At 35.2% G+C, this 20951-nt stretch overlaps 1 long non-coding RNA gene across 1 annotated transcript; it reads right to left on the bottom strand.

Annotated features, from left to right (window-relative positions):
- Window positions 1–3135: 3135 nt before the first annotated feature.
- LOC105377431 (uncharacterized) lies at window positions 3136–20072 on the bottom strand. Its single transcript, XR_939206.1, has 3 exons — window positions 19991–20072; window positions 3882–3961; window positions 3136–3247 (listed from the first exon to the last, which is right to left on the bottom strand). It is a non-coding gene; the product is annotated as an uncharacterized LOC105377431 (long non-coding RNA).
- Between the last annotated feature and the right edge of the window lie 879 nt (window positions 20073–20951).

Below are 20951 nucleotides of genomic sequence, written 5' to 3'. Positions count from 1 at the left end.
ATAACTCCTTAATATGATGTCTTAACTCTAAACATTACACTGATGCTATTTAGTATATTGAGGCTTGGTATGAGCATTCATTGTTTATTTTGGTAATGTGCCCATTTAGATATATTTGGAAAAAAATCATGACATGATACATATAAAATTTTAAGACATTATGTGAACTTTAATGAAAAGGCCAGCAAAAAGCATATTCATTTAGGAGATCTTAAAGACTGATCCTCATATTAAGTCCAATTAAATTGTGTACAGTAATAATATCTTATAATGGCTTTGTAATATTTCACTTTATATATTAGCCAAACAGTATCACTATTTATATATAAAGAAATTGGCTTAACAGTAAATAAAAATTGTGTATATCATGCTAGAATTGCCACTGGTTGCTTTTTCTACATTTCATCTTCTCTTTTTGTTTTTCACTTTATGCCTACTTTTTCTTTTGGCTTTCATCTCTCTCTCTCTCTCTTTATTTCTTTATGTTTGTTTCTTCAATCCTAATATCCTCACTTGTTACCAATAATTTGCCTACTTTAAATTCTTTTTTTTTTAAAAAAAGATTCCATTTCTGCCCCCCGCCCCCCACAACAACAACAAGAACAACAACAACGTAACACATAGACCAGCAACACTTCAGGGTAACACCAAATTTTTTATTATTCAGTGTTTAAGTCTACCAAGACTTATATACATAGAAATTACATACTTTTGACTCTTAACTTAGAACCCACTCATGTTTTGGATTCAAAACCCATATTCTAAACAATTTTATTCTTTGTTTCCTCTATCCCAGCCATATACCTGGGAAGGTGCTTTATGAATTATTGTTGGATATGGCTTACAACCATTGAATGCTTACCCTAAGTTCTATGCTTATTTTCTCCATTGCAGGTACAAATATTTTTCTAACCACATACAAATACGTAGTACCAATTATGTACTTTAAACTAATATTTGAATAGTGCTTTATAATTTATAAAACAATTTCATGTATATTGTTTCAACTTTGTATGGAAGATAGTAGAATTATCTGCATTTTATGAATGGAGAAACTGAGACTCAAAAAGATAAAATGATTTACCTAATATGATAACATGAATCCTGGCCTACTTTAGATGATGAATAAATGTTTACTGCATGAATAAAATAATGACAGAGTAGTTTTATATCAAAGCTCTTTTGCTTGCTACCTCTGTGATCTTGCACAATTTTCTTGAGCATTCTGAGCCTCAGTTATATTTTCTGAAAGTTGAAAATAACGGTGTTCTTTTAAAAGAACAGCTGTGTAAGATGTTAACTATGGGGCTTTAAAAAATGAAATAACTACTATGAATATTAAATGGAATAACATATTATGACATAATGCAGAGTAAATACTAAATTAATTTAGCTTTCTTCTTTTATCTAAAGAAGTCATGGTTAGTTTTTGGTGTTTCAGGATATACAACAATATTCTTCATTTAAACCAGGTGTTTTACTTCTCTGCTATATTATTATTTTTGCAAAAATGTGTTGCATATCACCGTCAAAGTGAAGAAATACAAAGTTTGGAGTATTTATTGATAAAATAGGGCTACATTTACATTTATGAAGGCTATACATATTTAGATGTTGTAATTTACATTTCCATACATTGGCTGTGACAAACTAAGCCTAAAACTCATTTATAAATTTAATTAAAGATTAAAATTTATTTTTTTAAATTGGCCTATTTTATAAACACATAAAAACATCTGCCCTACATATTTATATTTTTAACAGTGTTAGAATTGTAAGAGAAAATATATTACAGAGGTGATTCCCCTGTAAGATGTAACTGAGGTGTAAGATGTAGACTTAAGATTTCTCCAAAGGATTTATTCCTTTGACATTAACACTGGCATCTACTGAAACATTCCTTGTACTGAGAGGATAAAATATTTGACATTTTATATACAAAGACCACTGCAGTACAAAAAAAAATCTTATTCTTTTGTTTGATCCTGCCCCCCATTCTGAATTTTGAGAAACTCTTACATGATTATTTTTTGCCTCACTACAAAAATACAGATTAAATGTCAAAATCAGAGCCATGTTGAATAGTTGAAATCTTGTCTCTACGATTTTCTTTTTAGTTTGGATTTCTGAAAGCTGACTCAAGCTCATGTTGCATAAAAAGTTTCTTTCCTCATTTCTCTAGGATAACCTGGTTTTCTGCACATAATGCTTAGGCTGTGCAGCTTAAATGTAGGCTTGCACATGTTGCTGGTGGGTGTCTAGTGGCACACCCAATAGTTGTCTACATGTTGCAATTGTGCACTAATTAACTTGTTCTTAACAATAAACTCCTTAATAGCACTGGCTAAATCTGATTTTGTCCATGTATTCTCAAGCACTTCCTATGTACTGTATATACATCTTTGTACATATTATTAAACTGCCTTGGTTAAGAAAGGCATTCTTTCATCTTTTATTTAGTGCTTATTATGCGCTATGTACTGTGTAGATGCTAGAGATACAGAAATCAAGACATTGTTCTTTCTTGTAAGTGTTAACGAATAACAAACCCTTGAGTTCTTTTTATATTTTGATTTCTTGGCTATAGATACCACATGTTAAGACATACTTGTGACTTTATAACAAAGATGGGACATGTAAAACCTAGAAATTTCCTATTAATAAGAATATTTACAATAGGAAGAAATAATTTTTACAAATAACCTAGGAACACATATGAACTATAACTTGGAAAGATTATCATTTTATAAATGGTTCATTTTCTTATAGCTGCATTAATCCTAGAGGGTCAAAGAGTTGGAAAAATATAAAACTAATCCACATTACTGATAAAATAAGAGCTTAACCTGCTTAATAATGAGACATTAGAACAGTTTAATTGTGTGAACTAACACAAGAAAATATCCACCTAATGCTTAAAACTGCAATGAATTGAAATAAAAGCAAAGTCAAAATATCTTAGAAATTAAACATTATGCCCAGGCATGGTAGCTCATGCCTGTAATCCCACCACTTTGGGAGGCCAAGGTGAAAGGATTGCATGAGGCCAGGAGTTTAGACCAGCCTGGGCAACATAGTGAGACCGTTTCTACAAAAAATTTAAAAATTGTTGGACATGGTGGTGCGTGTCCGAAGTTCTAGCTACTCAGGAGGCTAAGGCTGGAGGAGTGCTTGAGCCCAGGAGGTTGAGGCTGCAGTGAGCCACGGATCACACCTCTGCATACGAGCCTGGATGACAGAGCAAGACCTGGTCTCAGAAAGAAAAAAAAGAAAAAAGAAAGGAAATTGAACATCTTAATACTTTATGTCATTAACAAAACCGATTCAACTATTTTTCTGATGGCACTATTAGATAACTCTTCAAAGTTAAAAAATAGTCTAAAGGTGCTAATAATTCTAGACGCAGGTATAATAATATAAAACGGGATTTCCAAAAGTCATCATTGTACAATGCTAATTCACTGAACACAGGCTTACGTACATCTTTGCTCTTGCTTTTTTTGAGCCATAAGGGTTTCTTATTTTGGGAACCTAAACTATGAGCTGTGCTATGCAACTCTCATCTTTGGATATAAGGGCTAGACATGATTTCTTGACGCCAAGAAAAAGGAGGTAATTTAATAATTTTTACTAATGCCAAGAGAGTTTGGAAGGTATATTTTTCTCTTTTTAATCTATCTTCATCTTCTCCTTCTTACTTTGTTGTTTCTGTACCTCCGTACTGTCACAATTTACTATCAGATGTGTCTTCATGGATTTCACAGTAAATAACTCAGACTATGAAATTGAACCAAATACTATTTTCTTATGTTAGGTTGTGTTGTGATAACAAATTATTTCATTTTGACATTTGATTGAAACTACCATCGTTTCTTGCTTACATTGCATGAGGGCTGTACATCGATTGTATCCCTGCTAAGCTTGTCTGGTCTCCACATGTCTTGTAATTCTTGGATACAGGCTGAAAAACAAATGATATCTTGGACATGGTATTCTCATGGAAAAGTGTACAAATGCAACAGCCCAAGCCATATTGTAGGGTCACATTTAAAACTTTCTCCTGGATGAAGTTATAATACACATGATGTCTGCTCACATTTCCTAGGCCAAAACTTGTCATTTGGCTATGCCCAAAGTCAATAAAATTGGTCTTATATTGCTCCTCTAGGATAATGACATAACAATGCATAAGACTGCAAATTCCATTACAGAGATAAAGAGTGAACAGCTGGGAGTATTAATTCAATCTACCACAATATCTTCAAGCAGATCATTTTTTTCTAAATTGCCCATCTTGTTGATAATACCTTTGATCACCGTGTATTGAAGATGGCAATCATTTGTAACTTCTGTTTATTCCTCACTAAGCACAATTAATTGACCACCAAAAATGTTATGATGCTACCTCTTCACTATCTTTTAAATTTGTTTCACTATATGTTCATCTGTTGCTACAATCTAAGTTCTAGCCATCATATCGTTTATCATATGAGTAATTACTTCTATTGCCTTCCTAAATTGACTTATTTAAAATGTCCCTTAAGTTTCTTTTCACACCAAATAAAAAAGGGTTATTTCAAAATAATGCGTTATGAGATGTTGCTCCTCTGAATATTTTGTGTGGTTTTTAAAAAATTCCAACATGTATTTTAGTTACACAGGACACATGTGCAGGTTTATTACATGGGAATATTATGTGATGCTGAGGTTTGGGGTACAGATCCTGTAATCCAAGTAGTGAGTGTACTACCTGATAGGTAGTTTTCCACATATCCCCTCCTCCCACCCTCCCCTCTCCAGTAGTCTGCAGTGTCTACTGTTCCCATATTTATGTCCATATGTGCTCAATGTTTAGCTCCCACTTACAAGTGAGAATATGTATTATTTGTTTTTCTGTTCCTGTGTTAATTCACTCAGGATGATGGCCTCCAACTGTATTCATGTTGCTGCAAAATACATGATTTTGTTCTTTGTTGTGGCTGTGTAGTATTCCATGGTATACATGGATTACCATTTCTTTATCCAGTCTACTATCAGTGGACACTTGCGTTGATTCCATGTCTTTGCTATTGTGAACAGCACAGTGATGCAGTGATAAACATAGAAGTACATGCATCTTTTTGGTAGAATGATTTATTTTCGGTTGGGTATATATGCAAAAATGAGATTGCTGGATTGAATGGTAGTTCTGTTTTAAGTTCTTTCAGAAATCTCCAGACTGCTTTTCACAGCGGCAAGGCTAATTTATATTCCAAGCAACAATGTATAAGCATTCTCTTTACTCTGAAGCCTCTCTAACATCTGTTTTTTTTTTCTTTTTAACTTTTTAATAATAGCCATTCTGACTAGTATGAGATAGTATCTCATTGTGATTTTCATTTCTCTGATGATTAGGGATGATGAGCATTTTTAAATATGTTTCTTGGCTGTGTGTCTTCTGAGAAGTGCCTGTTAATGACTTTTGCCTATTTTTTATTGTTTTTTTTTAATTATTTTGCTTGTTGATTTGTTTAAGTTCCCTATAGATTCTGGTTATTAAGCGTTTGTCAGATGCTTAGTTTGTGAATATCTTCTCCCATTCTGTAGGTTGGCTGTTTACTTTGTTGATAGTTTATTTTGTTGTATATAAGTGCTTTAGTTTAATTAGGTCCCACTTACCTATTTTTGTTTATCTTTCAATTGCTTTTGGGGACTTAGCCAAAAATTCTTTGCCAACGCTGATGCCAAGAAGAGTATTTCCTAGGTTACTTCTAGGATTTTTATAGTTTGAACTCTTCATTTGAATGTCTAATCCATTTTGAGTTATTTTTCGTACATGGTGAAAGGTAGAGGTCCAGCTTCAATCTTCTACATATAACTAGCCAGCTACTCTAGCACCGTTTATTCAACAGGGAGTCTTTTCCTCTTTTCTTGGTTTTGTCAGCCCTGTCAGAGATCAGATAGTTTTAGGTGTGTGACCCTATTTCTGAGGTTTATATTCTGTTCCATTGGTCTGTGTGTCTGTTTTGTAACATATCATGCTGTTTTGTTTGCTGTAGCTTTATAGTATAGTTTGAAGCTGGGTAATGTGATATCACTGGCTTTGTTCTTTTTGCTTAGGATTGCTTTGGCTAGTCAGGATTTTTTTTTGTTCCAAATAAATTTTAGAATAGATTTTTTTTAATACTGCGAAGAATAAAGTTCATAGTTTGATAGGAATAGTATTGAATCTGTAAATTGCTTTGGGTGGTGTGGCCATTTTTACAATATTGATTCTTCCAGTCCATGAGCATGTAATATTTTTCTATTTATTTGCATTGTCTTTGATTTATTTCAGCAGTATTTGATAGTTTTCCTTTTAGAAATATTTTACTTCCTTGATTAGCTGTATTTCTAGGAATTTCATTTTCTTTGTGGCTGTTGCTAGTGGGATCATGTTCTTCATTTTACGCTCAGCCAGGACCCACATTAGTGTATAGAAATGCTACTACTTTTTGTACATTGATTTTATATCTTGAACCTTTAGTAAAGTTGTTTATAGGGTCTAAGAGCCTTTGGGCAGATTGTTTAGCATTTTGTAGGTCTGGAATCATATCAGTGAAGAGAGATAGGTTGAGTTTTTCTTTTCCTGCTTAGACACTTTTCATTTCTTTCTCTTGTCTGATTGCTTTGGCTGGGACTTCTAGTACTGTGCTGAATACCAGTGGTGAGAAAGGGCATTCTTGTCTTGTTCCAGTTCTCAAGGGGAATGGTTCATGCTTTTACCCATTGAATATGATGTTGGCTATGGGTCTATTATAGATGGCTCTTATTATTTTTGGGGTTATGTTCCTTTCATGCCTAGTCCATTGAGGGTTTTTATCATGGAGGGATGTGGGATCTTACCAAAAGTTTTTCCATGTCCATTGAGATGATTATATGGTTTTTGCTTTTAATTCTGTTTATGTGGTGAATCAAATTTATTGATTTGGGTATGTTGAACAAGCTCTGCATCCCAGGAATAAATCCTACTTGATTGTGGCATATTAACTTTTTGATATGCTGCTGGATTCAGTTTGCTAATATTTTGTTGAGAATATTTGTGTGTATGTTCATTAGGGAAATTGGCCTGATGTTTTCTTTTTTTCATTGTGTCTCTGCCAGATTTTGGTATCAGACTGATTTTGGCTTCATAGAATGAGTTAGGGAGGAGCCTCTTTTCCTCAATTTTTCTGGAATAGTTTCAGTAGGATTATCATCAGTTCTTCCTTTTATATTGGTAGAATTAGGCTATGAATACATTTGGTCCAGGGCTTTTTTGGTTGGTCGGTTCTTTATTTCTGATTCAATTTCAGAAGTTCATATTGGTCTATTCAGGGTTTCAATCTCTTCCTGAATCAATCTTGGGGGATTGTGTACTTCCAAGAATTTTTTCATTTTCCCTAGATTTTCTAATTTGTATGCATAGAGTTGTTCATAGTAGTCTCTAAGGATCTTTTGTATTTCTGTGGGATCAGTTGTAATATCACCTTTGTCATTTCTGATTGTGCATACTTGGATCTTCTTTTTGTTTGTTAATCTAGCTAGTGGCTTATTAATCTTATTTTTCTGAAAAACAAACTCTTGGTTTCATTGATTTTTATATGGATTTTAGCATCTCGATTACATTATTTAATTTTAGTATTTCTTTTGTTAGTTTTGAGGTTGATTTGTTCTCTTTTTTTTAGGTTCTTTAGGTGCTAAGTTAGGTTGTTAGCTTGAGATCTTTCTAACTTCTCGATGAAGGCATTTAGGTCTATAAACATTACTCTTAACACTACTGTGGATGCATCCCAGACATTTTGGTAAATTATATGACCATTTTCATTAATTACAAATAATTTTTAAATTTCTGCCTTAATTTAGATGTTCATTTAGGAGTTATTTAGGAGCAAGTTGTTAATTTCCATGTGTTTGTATAGTTTTGAGAGATCTTATTGATATTGATTACTGTTTTTATTGCACTGTTGTTCAAGAATATGTTTGGCATGATTTCAATTGGTTGAACTTACTGAGATTTGTTTTATGACTGTGTAGTTGATTTTAGTGTATGTTTCGTGTACAGATAAATATATATCTGGTAGTTGTTGGGTGGAGTGTTCTGTAGATATCTATCAGGTCCAGTTGGTCAAGTGTCAAGTTTAAGTCCATAATTTCTTTGTGAGTTTTCTGCCTTGATGAGCTATCTGACTCTATCAGTGGGGTGTTGAAGTATACCACCATTATTGTGTGGTTGTCTAAGTCTTTTTGTAGGCCAAGAAAAATTTGTTTTATAGGTCTGAGTGCTCTAATGTTGGGTGCATATGTAATTAGTGTATTAAAAGCTTCTTGTTGGATTGCCCCTGTTATTTTGTAATATTGTTCATTTTTCCATCTTTATTTTTATTGGCTTTAAGTTTGTTTTATCTGATATAAGAATATTGACTCCTGCCTTTTTTTGTCTTCCATTTACATGGAAAATCTTTCTCCACCCTTTTACTTTGAGCCTGTGAGTGTCATTATATTTGAGATGATTGTCTTGAAGACAATAGATGGTTGGGTCTTGTCTTTTCTCCAGCCTGACATTCTGTGTCTTTTAATTGGGGTGTTTATCCCATTTCCATTCAAGATTAGTATTGATCTGTGTGATTTTGATCGTGCCATTTTGTTGTTAGCTGATTGTTACGTAAATTTGACTGTGCGGGTTTCACGGCCTGTGGGCTATATGCTTAAGTGTGTTTTTGTGGTAACAGGTGTCGTTTTTTTGGTATCTGTGTTTGTTACTCCTTTAAGGACCTATTATAAAGCTGGTATAATTGAAACATATTCCCTCAGCATTTGCTTGTCTGATAATGATTTTATCTCCTCTTCACTTATGAAGCTTAGTTTGGGAAGATATGAAATTCTTGGTTGGAATTTCTTCTCTTTAAGGACATTGAAAGTAGGTCCCCAATCTTTTCTGGCTTGTAAGATTTCTGTCTCTAGTGAGAGTAAGTAAATTTTCAAGGACTTTATCCTCAAGTATATTTTCCAAGTTGTTTATTCTCTCTCCTTCTCTCTTTGGGATGCCAATGAGTTGTAGATTTTTATCTCTTTATACAATTCCATATTTTTCAGAGGTTTTGTTCATTTTACTTAATTCTTTTTTAAATTATTATTAGTTTTGTCTGACTGAGTTGATTTGTAGTACTGGTCTTCAAGTTCTGAGATTCTTTCCTCAGCTTGGCCTATTCTGCTGTAAATACTTGTGATTGTATTATGAAATTCTTGCAGTGAATTTTTAGCTCAGTAAGTTCAGTTTGGGTTTTTCTTAAAAGAACTATTTTATCTTTTAGCTCTTGAATTCTTTTATTGAATTGCTTGGCTTCCTTGGATTGAGTTTCAACTTCCTCCTTGCTCTCAATGAGCTTCCTTGATATCCAGAATCTGAATTCCATGCCTGCCAAGTCGTACATTTCAGATTGACTAATAATTGCTGGGGAGCTGGGGAGCTCATTTAGAGATAAGGAGACCCTCTGGCTTTTTAAATTTTCTGGATTCTTGTTTTGATTCTCTTTTACCTGGTAGGGTTGGTGTTCCTTTAAATGTGGTATAAATTGAATATACTCAGTTGGCTTCATTTCTGGAAGTCTTAAGAAGACAGACTCCGTACAGTGTCTTTGTTGTTGGATTCTTGCCCCGGGTTTCAAATGGGAGAGAATTAGCAAAGTGGTTTTGGTATTGTAGTTTGGGCTGCAATTCAATTGATGGTGCTTGAAAGCAATGGAATGGTAGATAGTTGCTCCTTTGTGTAACTTTGCATTTGCAGCTGTGCTTTGTGGTGAGAGGGGTAGAGAGGTGACACTCACCTGTACCCCACCCCGACCAGGTCCACTCCTGAGCCTTGTGGGAGGCAACTCTGAACTCCGGTACTCTATTATTATTTTTTGTTAGGTGTTTGAGGCCATGAGCGTCCCTCAGGCAGAGGTCTGGTAGGGAAATAAGCCACACTCTTACTGGATCAGCCCTGTTGAGGGAGGCATGCCTAGGTCCCACACCAGCCTGAGAATCTGTGCAACTCATCACTCTCAGTATTCTGAGAGTATGGGTCCCTCCTATACCTGGATATTGGGCTCAGAGTCCAGCTCAGCTCTCCTGAGCTGTGGGTCACAGCCCTGGAGCACCAGAACCTGCTCCTGGCTCCCTCTTCTGGACCCTTGAGTTTGTATTAATAGTACAGCTAGGATCCCAAAGGTCCATGGCAAGAGTGGAAAGTTTCCCAGTCCCTTCACTCACTGCAACCCCAGGAGCTGTTCAGGAGCAGAAAACAGTCTTAGCGTTCAGGCACCCCACACAGGGTTCCCAGCTTCCTTCTTCTTCGGCTTTAGCATCTATGTCTTTTTATCCATCCACATTTCTTCGCCATAGATCTGTTTAAATTATGTTGGTTTAGTTGAAATTCTAGTCTATTTCCATGGGAGTGGCACTTCTTGGCTGCATTTAGTTGGCCATCTTCTTTTTGTGATTCTTCATGACTTTATGGATGAAATTTTAAAGCCAGATCCAGATGATCTTCTAGGCCTTTTATGATATGGACTTTGCTTGGTGCTCCAACCAAAGTTTCCAACTTTACCACTATTCTATGCTACATTGCTGTTTTTAAGATTGTACCTTCATTTTGAACTTTCTTTCCCTTGTTTATTCAGTTAATGTTTCCTCTGATAAGGTGCTAATACAACACTATATCTGGGCATGATTCATTGCTACCTTCATCACAATCACAGACTATATTTTAAGTCATCTTCTCTGTGGTCTCTTAGCACTGTATACATATTGGTTTTGGCATTTGCACTTTAACATAAATGCATGAAAATGTGTGTCTCCTTTACCAGACCATAAATACTAAAGGAACACTTCATAATATAGCTCTCAAATTTTGTTTTTCTATGTTTAAATGATTGCAAAGATCGTTTTATTTGATTTTTTTTATATAACTACCAGTATTTTTATGTTTCATACTTGCCATAATACAAAATATATAGCACTTTGCCAGATAACAAAACTTCAACTTACCATAGCTTGATTTGCCATAATGTGTGGGAAATAATTGGACCACAACCAAACTTTCAGCTAAAGTTACCTGAATTGAGGCCCAGATATAAATTCCTTTTACACTATTTTTATAGTGATGCATCAAGTTATAAAAATGTTAATTAAGGGATTTTAGAGAATGTTTATATTTTGTAATTTATTATGCAAATTAAGTTATGCTTAAACATGTAGATCATCTCCCTAAAATCCAAAGAGAGAAAAATTAAATTAGTAAGAGCATGCTACTTTGATGGGTGTAAAAGGAGTTAAAATTGTTGGCTCTCAGTTAATCTTATATGAGTAGCAACTATCATAAGGAGCATTTTAAAAAATGTTGTAGGTATGTTACAAAATCTAATTTCTTTATATTATTTTCTTTCAGATATTGGTGATTGTTGTGGTTGTTGTTTTGTTGTTTTTTTGTGGAAAGTAGTCTCCCGTGGTTCCTGAGTGAATATTCCTTGCTGAATATTTCAAATAGCAAGGTCCAATATATCCTGGTAATAAGCAGTGCTAGTCACATCAACACTTAAGTAGGTCAAGAAAACCATGTGACTACTATGCAACTCCTTGCTCCCCAGGGGATGGGGATGGCTTATTCTTTGCTTGCTACAAGAAGTGTTGAGCTCTTGAACTGGACTTCTCTGTAATGGTACCACCCACCACACTACACTCTCCGTCAGGGCCCATCTTGTCTCCCCATGGGGCTCTACCATAGGAAATCCTGCATTACCATGCTGAAACTCCTGCTGTTTGCTCTGTGGTGAGTAATAAACTATTTTGCTGGATTCCTTGAGTTTCAGCACTACTGAGTTCTGGAAAACCTACCTGCTTTCTTTTCTTAGTCATCTTATCACTCTTTGCTGCAATCTCAAGTTGTGATTCTTCCCTGATAGATTTCTTCTCTTTCTAATTAAGTGTGTTTCATGTTCAAATATAATCATAGTCTCAATATATGATATTTCTCTTATGTTACAAATGAAACTGTATACCATGTGAAAAACATAAGGACTACTATATACAGTACTTTGGCAGCAGCTGCCAATTTATAAGGCCTTTTAAAATTGGATGTATGACATACAGGCTGATGTATTTGAAGACTACCCCCCCTTTTTTTTTCACTATCTTTGGTTCTTCATGATTTGAAGACATGCTTCATTATGTTTTTTTTTTTAAATTATACTTTACATTCTGGGATACATGTGCAGAACGTGCAGGTTTGTTACGTAGGTATACATGTGCCATGGTGGTTTGCTGCACCCATCAACCCGTCATCTACATTAAGTATTTCTCCTAATGCTATCCCTCCCCTTGCCCCCCAACCCTGACAGGCCCTGGTGTGTGATGTTTCCCTCCCTGCGCCCATATGTTTTCATTGTAGAACTCTCACTTAGGAGTGAGAACATGCAGTGTTTGGTTTCTTGTTCCTGTGTTAGTTTGCTGAGAATGATGGTTTCCAGCTTCATCCCTGTCTCTGCAAAGGACATGAACTAATTCTTTTTCATGGCTGCATAGTATTCCATGGTGTATATGTGCCATATTTTCTTTATCCACTCTAACATTCATGGACATTTGATTTGGTTCCAAGTCTTTGCTATTGTGAATAGTGCTGCAGTAAACATACGTGTGCATGTATCTTTATAGTAGAATGATTTATAATCCTTTGGGTATATACCCAGTAATGGGATTGCTGGGTCAAACGGTATTTCTGGTTCTAGATCCTTGAGGAATTGCCACACTGTATTCTACAATGGTTGAACTAACTTACACTCCCACCAACAGTGTAAAAGCGTTCCTATTTCTCCACATCCTCTCCAGCATCTATTGTTTCCTGACTTTTTAATGATCGCCATTCTAACTGGTGTGAGATGGTATCTCATTGTGGTTTTGATTTGCATTTCTGTAATGACCAGTGATAATGTGCTTTTTTTCATATGTTTGTTCGCCTCATAAATGTCTTCTTTTGAGAAGTGTCTGTTCATATCTCTTGCCCACTTTTTGATAGGGTTGTTTTTCTGTTATGAATTTGTTTAAGTTCCTTTTAGATTCTAGATATTAGCCCTTTGTCAGATGGATAGATTGCAAAAATTTTCTCCCATTCTGTAGGTTGCCTGTTCACTCTGATGATAGTTTCTTTTGCTGTGCAGAAGCTCTTTGGTTTAATTAGATCCCATATGTCAATTTTGGCTTTTGTTGCCATCTTTTGGTGTTTTATTCATGAAGTCTTTGTCAATGCCCATGTCCTGAATTGTATTGCCTAGGTTTTCATCTAGGGTTTTTAAGGTTTTAGGTCTTATGTTTAAATCTTTAATCCATCTTGAGTTAATTTTTTTATAAGTTGTAAGGAAGGGGTCCAGTTTCAGTTTTCTGCATATGTCTAGCCAATTTTCCCAACACCATTTATTAAATATGGAATCCTTTCCCCACTGCTTGTTTTTGTCAGGTTTGTCAAAGATCAGATGGCTGTAGATGTGTGGTGTTATTTCTGAGGCCTCTGTTCTCTTCCATTGGTCTATATATCTGTGTTGGTACCAGTACCATGCTGTTTTGGTAACTGCAGCCTTGTAGTATAGTTTGAAGTCAGGTAGCATGACATTGCCTTCAGTAGTTTTTTTTCTAATTCTGTGAAGAAAGTCAATGGTAGCTCAATGGGACTACCATTGAATCTATAAATTATTTTGGGCAGTATAGCCATTTTCACGATATTGATTCTTCCTTCTATGAGCATGGAATGTTCTTCCATTTGTTTGTGTCCTCTCTTATTTCCTTGAGCAGTGGTTTGTAGTTCTCCTTGAAGAGGTCCTTCACGTCCCTTGTAAGTTGTATTCCTAGGTATTTTATTCTCTTTGTAGCAATTGTGAATGGGATTGGCTCATGATTTGGCTCTCTGTTTGTCTATTATTTGTGTATAGGAATGCTTGTGATTTTTGCACATTAATTTTGTATCCTGGGACTTTGCTGAAGTTGCTTATCAGCTTAAGGAGTTTTTGGGCTGAGACAATGGGGTTTTCTAAATATACAATCATGCCATCTGCAAACAGAGATAATTTGACTTCCTCCCTTCCTATTTGAATATCCTTTATCATTATGTTCTTAAAATATTCATTCAGCTGGGCATGGTGGCTCAGGACTGTAATCCTAGCACTTTGGGAGGCCGAGGTGGGCGGATCACCTGAGGTCAGGAGTTCAAGACCAGCCTGGCTAACATGGTGAAACCCCGTCTCTACTAAAAATACAAAAATTAGCTGGGCGTGATGGCATATGTCTGTAATCCCAGCTACCTGGGAGGCTGAGGCAGGAGAATTGCTGGAACCCAGGAGATGGAGGCTGCAGTGAACCGAGATCATGCCACTGCACTCCAGCCTGGGTGACAGAGTGAGACTCCATCTCAATTAAAAAAAAATAAAAAATAAAAAAATCATTATTCAATGTAATCATTGATGTGATTACTCTGATTATTTATCCATGTGGGCCAATGTTCATTGTAATGTACACATGAAAATTGAGACTCCATCCAATAAGCTTATTTTTTTCTGAAATAAATTTAGCTTCATTACATGTAAGTTAATTCTAAGAAAGCGTTTGCTTCTACTATTCTTAATCTTTTGTTTCTGCTTCTTTCATGTCTATAAAACAGATTTTCTGTAGATATACCACTCAAGGAACATGAGAAAACAACTTTTTCAATTGCAAGCCTTCCTCAACTCTGTCATTTAGTAATATGCATGGTGAAATTTTAAGTGGAAACATAGTGCTAATTTTGGCTTTCAAAAATCAATTTACCATGAAATCCATCCTTCCCCACCTCCGGCAAAGAAACAAAAAAGTAAATAGTGACACTTGGTGAAAGACTGTTCCCATAGAATGGTGCGATATACCTCTTTGTTTGTATACTGACAAAATATAGCAAATGATTTGTGTTCTAAAGTTCTGTATGTTATTGTGGATTGGTGGTAAGATGAATTTGTTAGTATATACAAATTTAACACCATGATTTTTTTTGTAATATTGTCAGCCATAGCTTCCTAAATGATTAATGCAGTACACCTTAGCATTAGTAGTGATTTTCTTTTTCAAATCCAAATTACAGGTCTTTACACAAAATAATCATAATTTTACTATGATTACTGTTATTAATTTTAATGTTATTTATTATCAATATAAAATATTATACAAATGCTCAGTAAAATGTCTTTTACTGAGCAATTGCTTCTGAGCACTATTCCCGCTATTGATGAGTATTCCCTCTATTAAGCACTGTTCCCTCTATTTATAGGTGAGTAATTGATCCCAAATATTTAGCAGTTGAACAAAGTGAAATGATAGTGCCCTAGATTTAAGCTGGATCTTTCTGATGAGAACATTCAAACTATAAACAAGCACATAATCTGCTTCCATTAACAAAAAAATATGCACATGTTTAGATAAACTATATATTGCTGATATTAAAAAATGAAAATTAAATTGGTGGGGACTGTAGAGTTAATAAAATTCTCAGGTGGCCTTTTAATCGTGATCTTTTGTTGTTAATTATAATGTTTACTCAAATAACAGGATAGATGAGATCTAAACTGTAGCCTTGATTTTAATAAGCACATGACTTTTTCATACATATCATTCCATTGCATTTGATTCAGTTTTTATATCGCTGCTATAGCAGAATGCCACAGGCTGGGTAATTTATAAAGAAAAAGAGTTTATTTGTCTCACAATTCTTGAGGCTGGGAAATCTAAGCTTATGGTGTTATCACCTAGTGAGGGCTTTTCCTGCTATGTTCTAACATGGCAGACGGCCATGTGAACACACTAGACACAGAGAGGAAATGAGGGCCAAAGTTATCCTTTTATCAGGAGCCCACTCCCACAGTAACTAGCCCACTCTTGTGTTAATGGCATTAATCCGTTCAATAGGGTGGAGCTCTCATGAACTAATCACCTCTTAAAGGCCCTGCCTCTTAATACTGTTACAGTAGCAGTTGATTTCAACCTGAGTTTTGGAAAAGATATGCAAACCATAAATTTCCCTGAATGCTTTTCTGCATTTTAATTTCTCTTTTAGGGTCATTGTAAGCCAATATAATAAGAAATAATTTTGGAGAGTGAAATTTGAGTAATGAAGCAATCCAGCAGATCTGAATCTCAAACCAAATAGTTTTAAAACATGTCTTGTTATAATCTATAGAAATTTCTTGTTTGTTTACTTTTCCATCACAAATATCTTAGAACATATAAATGGTATCTTGGTTATTTGAAGGGATTGGTGCTTTCAGAGCTAGCCCAAGTGGCTCTTTTTGCTTTCTAACCACTGTTTCTTATTAGTATCCTAATCATATCATTTGTGCATCTACAGGGCAAGGTGTTCCTGAGGGCAGTTGAGCTTGGCAAATGATATTTAAAATAAGCAATAATGAAAACCTTTGTGAAACTGGGTTTGGAAACACAGAACTAAAACCTAGCTTAAAGGCCAGCTTGCTTTCTTTGGGTGTTACTATATGTAATTGTATGCTTTAAGGGATTAGATTTATCCATTTATAAACCTGCATCAGTGTAGAAAGTGACTTGCTCTGCTTTTCCTATAGAGAGAAAATATCATGAGCATATTAATTTTAAATTAAGCCAGATAACAAGATCTATATATGAATAATAGGATTTATAGTTTTGGGGAAAAATCACAAAAAGGTTTTAATGAGAAAATATTACTTATCCTAAACAGAACTATGTTAGTAAAATGCCTATGCCATGTAATTTATAACACTTGGATAATATTAAAATGTGATGAATGAGGGAAACTTAATAATCTTTGGGATATTTAGAGGTTTTCTAATTAGATAAAACAAGCAATTAAATTCACTTATAAGGGCATCCTTGTAAGGACAGATAAACTGTCACTGCACCATCCAAATTTGATTTTGCCAATTTTACTTTCCAATGAAGTTCAGAAATGGTAAGACTGTGTTGCTGCAATTAAGTGTCATTTATTCTTCATTTCTGTATTTAGCAATGAATTATTAACCATCTACTATTTATGCTGTCCTATGTTCAAGGAACTGGGTATGTAAAAGTCAATAAAGCACAGCCCATTCTGTCAAGTATATCAAGTAAGAAAAAATTCAATTAGCTCCTTTGTTAATTGCATGCTTTATTTGCTGGAAAACTTGAAGTTTTGTGCCTCGGGCAATTATTTGTCTATGTTAAAAGCAAGACTTCAGAGTCTTCAGATGTCTTTGTTGATGTTTATGATTGTGTTTAAAAGAGTATTTTATGTATCATTAGATAAAGAAAATGTGTAAACATACTGTTATGTCCGGCCTAAAGCAGGACTAAATCATTACAATCTAGTGAAACAGTTTATTCTCAATGTCGAATTATGGTATATTAAAAATGATGAACTTCTATTGTTTCCTTAAACCATCTAAAATAGAGGTTCATGAACTATTTCAGATAATTTGGGAAAACTCTGATCATGTATGTTACTTAAAAGCAGTAGCACTTTGTTGGGTTGTCTAACTGAATGTTTCCTTTGCTCTGAGTTTTCTGAAGTGGATACTCTTCTACTCCTCTGCAACAAACAATTTAAAGAAGTTTAACTCCTGACAGCCTTTTACTACATAAAAGTCCAGCACACTGATGTACTGTATTGTTCACCTGTGATCCTCTTTTATGATATTTTATCTTGAGCTATTCTAAGATTGCCACTTACTGTGTATAGAAGGGCAAATAGGGTTAAGCAAAGGAAAAGTTAACAAAATGAGGGAAAAAAGTTGCCTGATGGTACTACAGTGCTAGAGGGTCAGTTCTATTTATAAAAGAAGATGTGGATTAGCTCACTGAACATTTACAATTCAGATGACAAGAAGATACTTTTAAGAGCTGATTTACTATTCTCAGGCCAGTGCTCATGCCAAGTGAGCTAAAGTAACTTCACCAGCTGAGCTAGTGGAAGTACTTAATATACTCATCTAAGATCTTCATGAGAGTAGCTTTTTGGCTGCAACAACAAGGCCTGAAGCTGTCAACCTTCTCCACTGTCACCAGTAGATATCACTGCAGTCAATTAGAATTACTATAGAGGATTTGAGACAGACACACATGCATCTTTTCGTTCTTGCATAGGCAGCTGCCCAAAGATCACTAATCCGTGACTGGAGGGAGGAAGTCTTGGCAGTGATGCAGCTTGTTCATTGGCTGAACAGCTATAATCATCTGTCCAAACGTCTTAGTAGGGAACATCAGACTGATTTCTCAAAATGGGGAAATGAGTTTCCTTTTAAAACCCATGTGATATATCTTGGTATATTTAAACAGACTAACCTTAGTCACAAAGGCAACTTTCCTGTGATTTGAAAATGAACAGACAAAAACTGGAAAAAGGAAATGAACATGTTAAGTGTTCACCCTCTTAAGTATTTCCCATAATAGTAATAATTGTAATAACAATAAGCTTGGTGGTAAGTTTTTTTTTGCAAATGTTTCTTCAGTAATGAAAAACATTGGGGTGGCTCACACCTGTAATCCCAGCCACTTTGGGAGGCCGAGGAGGGATGATGGCCTGAGCTCAGGAGTTTGAGACCAGCCTGGCCAACATGGTGAAACCCTGTTTCTACCAAAAATACAAAAAATTAGCTGAGTGTGGTGGCATACACCTGTAGTCCCAGCTCATCTTGAGGCTGATGCAGGAGGATTGTATGAGCCTGGGAGGTGGAGGTTGCAGTGAGCTGAGATCGTGTCATTGTACTCCAACCTGGGAGACAGAGTGAGACCTCGCCAGAAAAACAAAAACAAAAATAAAAAAAAAAAAAAGAAAAACATCTGGAAACTGTTTATTATAAACATGAGTAATTATATTATTCACTATTTTAACTTAAAGATTTTGGCAGTTAAGCACTCTATTAACTCTATTGTCTAATTAAATTACAACTTAGAATATTTTTATATTCTTAAAGATTGTTTTACATTTTGGGTTTTCAAAAAGCATGAGTTGTGTGGCAAAGAATAAATAATTTTTCTATTCCTGAAAGTTAACTAATTATTTATTAGAAAGTCAGAAATATGTGGAAAGCAAAGGAATATTTGAGAAAGTGATATGAAATTAATAAGTGGTAAAAAATTAATAAAATTAATATTAGAGTTTCCTTTGAGCTAATCCTTTATTTATTTATTTTTTTCCTTGAGACAATGTCTTGCTCAGTTGCCCAGGCTGGAATGCAATGGTGCGATCTTGGCTCACTGCAACCGCCGCCTACCAGGTTCAAGTGATTCTCCTGCCTCAGCCTCCTGAGTAGCTGGGACAACAGGCGTCTGCCATCATGCCTGGCTAATTTTTGTATTTTTTTTTTTTTTAGTAGAGATGGGGTTTCTCCATGTTGGCCAGGCTGGTCTTGAGCTCCTGACCTCAGGTGATCGACCCGCCTCAGCCTATCACTATATCGTGAGATGCTATACTGTTATTGTCAGAAGTAATTAATTCCAACACATTCTTTTTGAGAAAAAGTTGTTATGTCATGGCACAAAAAGAAAACCACACCCATTATATTTATAAAGTAAGTAAATTATTATGTAGATTCTGAGAAGCATGACTTTAAGCAAATGCCTATATAATACTAAGTGAAATGAATTCTTAGAATTAATATTATAATTTGTTTCAAACTATTCTCTCTTACTTCAGTTTGCGGAAATAATAATCTACACAGAGTTGACACATAGCTAATTCTAGGGAGAAAAAAGACAAAATTTAGCATTCACCTTGATTATACTGGTGTTTTATTTGAAAGTTCATTAGATTATTAGCCCGTATATTTAGGTTGCATATTGTAAGAGCTTTAGATGTATGGTTCAGGGGTTAGAAGTCTCAAGCAGTCACAAAGTGGTGCAGCAACTTCGATCATTATGTCTGTCTTCACTGAATGAACACTCAAAGCAAAAAGTGTGAACGCTTCTCTCTTACCTCTCTGTATCAGAAAGAAAATTCTCTCTCTTTTTTCTCTCTGGACAAAATTGCAGTGAAAAAAGATGCTGAGGAATGACTTTCTGGCAAGGAAGAAAGAGCTCGTTAGGGCTGAATAGCCTGTGCCATATACACTCTAATTATGACAAAAAACGCCATTTTTTTTGTTGTTGTTTGTTTGTTTGTTTGAGACTGAGTTTCACTCTTGTTGCCCAGGCTGGATTGCAATGGCACGATCTCGGTTTACTGCAACCTCTGCCTCCCGCCTCCCAGGTTCAAGCAATTCTCCTGCCTCAGCCTCCTGAGTAGCTGGGATTACAGGCATGTGCCACCACGCCCGGCTGATTTTGTATTTTTAGTAGAGATGGGGTTTCTCCATGTTAGTCAGGCTGGTTTTAGACTCCTGACCTCAGATGATCTGCCTGCCTTGGCCTCCCAAAGTGCTGGGATTACGGGCGTGAGCCTCCTCACCCGGCTAAGGCCATCTTTTAAATTCCTCATTTAAATAGGTGTGAAATCAGAGCCATTGCATTTGTATTATGTGTGTGTTGGTAATCCTGGAATCTGGTTGTAGAAGCAATGTGAGCTTTGAAACTTTTGTGGCCTGTGAACATTTAAAAATCACAGAGAGAAGAGTCTCATTGATGGAGAACATTATTGCATTTGATTACCTTGATAAAACTTATCAGTTATACACCTTTCTCAAGTCATATTTCTTAATAATTGATATTTACAGAGTAAACATTTTGTCAACAATAAACATAATTGACATGACTTGTTTTTCAATTACATAACATTTTAGCTTATAATGAACCTGTAAAATATAATGGAACTGAGTAAGAACATTAGGAGATGCGTCTTTAAAGTGTCCTGTTAAGTTTGAGACTGATTTATGGTGAACTACACAAAAATACCGTATATTGAGAAGATAAAAATTATTGTCCACCCAGCCACATTTTGC

This window comes from Homo sapiens, chromosome 4 (genome assembly GCF_000001405.40).
Source record: "Homo sapiens chromosome 4, GRCh38.p14 Primary Assembly".
NCBI classification, from domain to species: domain Eukaryota; kingdom Metazoa; phylum Chordata; class Mammalia; order Primates; family Hominidae; genus Homo; species Homo sapiens.
This window is presented reverse-complemented; position numbering and strand designations above follow the sequence as displayed.